A 6,000-nucleotide genomic window follows, 5' to 3' on the forward strand; every position below is an offset into this window, starting at 1 on the left:
TTTCATGGACACTAATTCTATTTTGGTTATATATGATAAAATATGTTTTTTTTGACTGCTGCCTTATAATATACAGAATATATTCATTTTGGTATATTTAAATTCATTAGCCTATTTTTTTTCAATATCTCTAGGAGTTTTTTGTTGCTACAAGGGTATTGATATATTTCCGTATATATCCTTTTTAAGTAGTTAACATCTTTATTTTCACATTTAATTATCTAATACCCCTGGAGTTTACTTTCAGCAACATTGAGATCTGCTTATTATTATTTTCACAAGAAGACTAGTTGTCTCATCACCATTTGTGTTTTCCTGCTGAATTCTTAAATCTTCTGTCACGTATAAACTTTCCACAATTGTGTGAATCTGTGTCTGAGCTCTCTATTATGACCAGTTGGTCCATTTATCTATTCCAATGTCAACATACTTTACTACAATTAGTATAACTACATAATATATCCTGGTAGGGATATATTTATTCATCCACCTTGTTCTTTTAAAATTGTTTTGGTTATGCCCATTCTAATTATTCTTGACAAGTTCATTTTAAAACCATATCAACATTTTTGGAATTAGATTGGCTCTGTAGATTGTATTTTAGAGAAACTGTAATGTTCATGATATTAAGCCTCTTATATATGAACAGAATTCGATTTTCAGATTTTCATTTATGTTTATCATCTTTTATGTTTTTGAATAAAGTTTTGTCATTTCTGTCTTTTAAAGATCTATACATCTTTAAAAGATTGGTACTTCATTATTTTTTGATAATGTAAGTGACAGAATTTTCTACATCAGCTATTTTTAAAAAGCATTTGTTAACATTTAATAAACCTCCCCCCATGTGACTTTAAGTAACCAAGACTAGCCCCATACTCATAAACGCTTTTAATCTTCTCAGCTCTTCTGCTGAAGAATTTGGCTTTCATGATGATAGGCTGCTTTGGGAACTTTTCCTTCCCCAGGCAGAACATTTTAGTAGGCCTAGAAAAACAGAGAAATGGCTTATAATACACCATAGCAGGTACCAACTCCCTGATGAGTATGAGGAAAGATGCCTCCCAACCCACACCTTCTGGGATCTAGGTAGGCCATGTTTCAGATACGCATACTAACACAGTCACTGCTCCTGCCAGTGAATCAAGACCAGTAGATTCATCGAGAACTCTAGCACACCAGGACAAGAGCTGTGTCAGGATGTTACTCTAGTGTCAGCTCGAACTTAGCTTTTGAGTGTTTATTCTGGCATATAATAGCACAAATTTAATTCCATAACATTCTTTATTTTCCTTTCTCCATATTCAGTTTCCAGATTCAGATTCTTAACCATCTCATTGTTATTTTTGCAGGAGACAGTAGTTTTCCCTCTTGCTTGGTACAGTCATTAGACATTCTTCATCTTTCATCAGTAATATTCTTAACGTACATTCCCAGCTAAGAGCCTTCTATTTTTATCTATTGCCAATATGGCAAATTCAAGACTTGTTAAGCTTAAATACATGACCTTCACATGCCTTGCATGTTTAGACTCATCTACTCTTTTTCCATTTTTTGATCTCTTCCCAAGCTCACATGGCTTGTGGTAACTTGTAGTTTATTGCAGGATACCAGCATGCCTGCCCCAGTTACTTGCTGACTGTGGCTAGATGGTGCCTTTAGTTTTTTGACATGTGGTCCTCTCCAAGGGGAAGTTCACTACACGGCAGCTTGATTATTTTGATTATTTAAAGCCAGTGAGGAAAACAGCCTCTTCACAAGGCTAAAAGCTAAAAATTTTTCAATAACATTTATTTAGTCAAACAGTGCTTGTTATTTATCCACTCTTTCAATAAATTGAGAACCTCCTACATGCACTGCAGTGTAGTATGCTTAGCTGCTATGCATACTACACTGTAGTATGCATACACAGTGTAGTATGCTTAGCTGCTATGCTTAGCTACTATGGATAAATCAGACATGACCTTTTATATGCTATTATAAAGAGTAACACAGGCACATAATTACATATATCTCATCACTTTTATTATATTCTGTTGGTTGGAAACAAGCCGCAGGTTCCACTCACACTTAAGAGGAGGGCATTAGACAGAGTAAAGCTACCAAGAGGCAGAAATCATGCTATGTTCTATTCCAAACTTTCCATCAGCAAACGGTGACAATACGTGCCTTTTAAAATCATCCTTTAAAATGTATTGAAAATCACATAGAAAAGCAGAAACACAAGCACAGATGCACATAAATGCTTATTATTTACAGAAATAAAATTTTACTATTTATACTGTTGAGCAATTAGTTCTTATTTCTTAACAGTCCACTGAGGACATTGTTCTATATTACCAGTAGTTACATATCACAGTATATGTGCCTGCCTTCTTTTTAACTGGTATATATAGCAATTATTGATCATTATACTTGATAATTACAATGCTTAGGTCACGGTTATGAATTTGCCAGATATCAAATTAGGGATGATGTATACAAAATGTCAGAAGAGTAAGAAAAAGCAATGTGGAAGTAATGTTACAAAAATCCAGATATTTTCACAATAGAACAATCCACAGGTGGCCACTGAAATTAAAATTAATTCAAATAAAAACAATTAAAATTTAGACCTTCAGTCATGTTAGTCACATTGCAAGTGTTCAATAGTCATCACATGTGGCTAGTGACTACTGTACTGGACAGGGAAGATACAGAACACTCATGTTATCACAGAAACTTCTGTTGGGCATAGTTATTACAGAAAACCATGAAGAATAAAATATGGAGCTGGGTTTCAAGTTATTTTCTAGGATGTCATGTGGTTTTTCATTGGTGAGATAGTAGTAAGCATTTTCCCCTTAATCTATAACACAAGAATGTAAAAAGCAAAATAATACTTACAGAAATACATAACACACAAATAAATGTAGAAACCTATTTAAATAAACTAAGGAAACAAACACAAAATTGTTTAACTTATTTAAAAATAAAAGAAGATGACATAATGGAAACTTTGTAATTTTAAAATATTTTTATTATTTATTTGATAAAATACCACTTTAAATTTAGGCTATTCTTCTATAAATCATTTCAGGTTCTATTCTCCTTTATTGATATATTTGTCTATTCTGGTCTTAGCGCCAAGTTATTAATTATTAAACTTGGCTTAAATTTAATTATTTACATTTAATTAATAATATCACTATGTTGATGTTTTATATTTAATGCAGTAAAAAATAATGGTTATATTTAAAATATGTGACAAATCAATGGCAAATTCTATCTAAGGAAAAAATTGAAATAAATGTGAGTATGCACACATAAATATATATGTAAGAATAAATTACCACATACTTATAAATATTTAAGCTTTTTATTAAACAATATGATTTTAAAATATATAATCTTTGCTAACAACTGATATAGCAAATAAATTAATAGCTTCTATGAAAGACCTTAGCATATGTAAGGAAAAGAATAAGAAACAGAAACTATAAAAAAATAGAAAAAATATAAAGAGGAAACTAACTCAATTTATCTTGAGATTGTCCTAATATAATCAAAATGTAATTTTTAATGACAGGAATTTTTAAAAGGAAATTTTAATAATTATTATTTGGGTGCACAAGTATTAAAATATTAATGTATGCCTCTTAGTAGTTACATGAGCGATGTACTAGTATCATTTCCATTTTAATGTTATAAGGGATTAATTATTCTCCCAATGCCGCACTTCCAGTAAGAATTAAAGCAGGATTAGATACAGGTACCTAAAATATTAATATTTTCTTTATATTTTCCAAATGTTTTGTAATGAACTAATTTGTGAAGTATGTATATATTATATATGTTTTATATTTACATATGATATATAATACAGTATATATAATATGTATGTATACCACATATCTACACAAAACAATCAAGTCTAAATCTAACTTTTGATAGGTAGAGAAATATTTTTTCTATTGCATTTCAGAATCCATTTCCTTGGCAATAATGGTTCTCCTAATTTACTTGATTTAAATGTACACATAAAAGTTATTTATACTAGCCATGGTCTCACAATACAAATTTTTCATACTGCTGAAGGTTTATGAAGTACAGAGAGGTCTTGACAAAATGTCATACAAAATTAAATAAGGTAAATTATTTGTCAATCAGTATGAATAAAACATAAGTTGTATAAAAGAAAGAAAATTATTTTAATAATTAGGAAGCCATAAAATAGCATTAGAATATGAGACATACCTGTAGCAGAGGCTGACTAATCAACCTGTGAGCCAAACAATTAATCAAATACTGACCAGAATTTGCTGCGGAGGTAGACTTAGATGCTGGTACTAGTGCTTGGAAAAACACATTCCAAAGGTTTAAAGCAGGCTGTTAAATCTATCTTGTATCACAGACTGTCAGAGAGAGTATAGTAGGATAAAGATGATGGAGACCAGATCCATAACCACAAGATGTAGGAATCATTGCCAAGTTAGTAGTTATATTCTATTAATGTAGGCTATAATGTTCTACCTAATCTGTTAGTTGAAAAAACATGCATATGTAAATAAAATATGTATGTATTACTACAAATAAAAGTGCATTAATTTTATGTATTAGTATTTTTACTACTGGAGTAAGAATTATGGTTAAATAATGACTTTCTAAGTATGGTGTACCTTTATTCATTGACTTAGTGTTTTGCTAAATGATTTCTAGTATGCAAAAATGAGACCAACCCTGTTTTAATATTATTATGCCAGAAAACCAACAGAATAACCAAACTGACCACAAGTTTCATAGTATAACTTAAGAAAAATAAAAATTGAAGTGGGTCAATAAAACAAACAGAAACCCACAATTAATTTCAACAAAATTAATGTAGAAATCAGAGTCTGGCTAAAATAAAATATGCATTTTATAAAAGACAAATTATAAGAACAAGAATATTCAAATTAAAAATGACAAAGTTGGTATAAATCACATATAAAAAGATATTAATTACAATATAAAATAAAATATTAGTGTAAACATACATTAAAATGTCAGAATTATAAAAAACTAAACTTTATGAAAATTAACAAAATAATAAAATCAAATTGACCACACACTAAAAAAAAATTACTAGTTTTCAAACATTATATTTAATCATTGGTTCAGGCTGAGATTTTATGTTAACATTTTCAGTTTTTCATGAAAAACAATTTTCAAGAACACATAGTTTGAGATAATGAAAAATATACTTGCACATGCATGTATATAGCAACACAATTTGCAATTGCAAAAATGTGGAACCAACTCAAATGCCCATCAATCAATGAGTAGATAAAGAAACTGTGATCTATCTACCTATCTATCTATTGATCTATCTATCTATCTATCACCTATCTGTGGATGAGATTGGAGACTATTATTCTAAGTGAAGTAACTCAGGAATGGAAAATCAAACATCGTATGCTTTCACTCCTAAGTGGGAGCTAAGCTATGAGAATGAAAAGGCATAAGAATTACACAATGGAGTTTAGGGGCTTGAGGGAAAGGGAGAGAAGGGGGCGAGGGATAAAAGAGTACAAATAGGGTGCAGCGTGTACTCCTCACATGATAGATGCACAAAAATCTCACAAATCACCACTAAAGAACTTACTTACATAATCAAATACCACCTGTTCCCCAATAACTGATAGAAATAAAAAATTGAAAAAGAAAAGACATGTTCACTGGGCAACATCAAAAGTAATAAGGATAATTACTTTTCATTAAGATAGGGTTTTTTCCCATCCAATAAATAAATAAATAATGAATAATATGGAAGTTTTCTCAGTAGATTTTATAAACTCAGAAACAAAAAAATTCAAATCATTCTCTTACCATACGTTAATTCTTATTCAATGTTTTATTACCTCACTGATTCTAGCTCTCTCAGTATAAATATGAATGTGTATGTGTGTGTATATATGTATATATATATACTTCATTTACACACACACACAGGTTTCATTCACAGCACCTTTTACAGGTTTC

General features: G+C 30.2%; 1 long non-coding RNA gene and 1 pseudogene across 2 annotated transcripts in view; both read right to left on the reverse strand.

The window, feature by feature from the left end:
- The window catches only part of LOC107984536 (uncharacterized), a 297,729-nt gene extending 293,382 nt beyond the window's left edge, over window positions 1–4,347 (reverse strand). For both annotated transcript variants that reach the window (XR_001749235.2, XR_001749234.2), the window contains exon 1: window positions 4,237–4,347. This is a non-coding gene — a long non-coding RNA (uncharacterized LOC107984536). The remainder of the gene's footprint in view (window positions 1–4,236) is intronic.
- On the reverse strand, window positions 1,095–1,219 carry LOC124900326 (uncharacterized; annotated as a pseudogene).
- Window positions 4,348–6,000: the final 1,653 nt, after the last annotated feature.

The sequence above is a fragment of the Homo sapiens genome, chromosome 12, assembly GCF_000001405.40.
Source record: "Homo sapiens chromosome 12, GRCh38.p14 Primary Assembly".
Taxonomy (NCBI): Eukaryota; Metazoa; Chordata; class Mammalia; order Primates; family Hominidae; genus Homo; species Homo sapiens.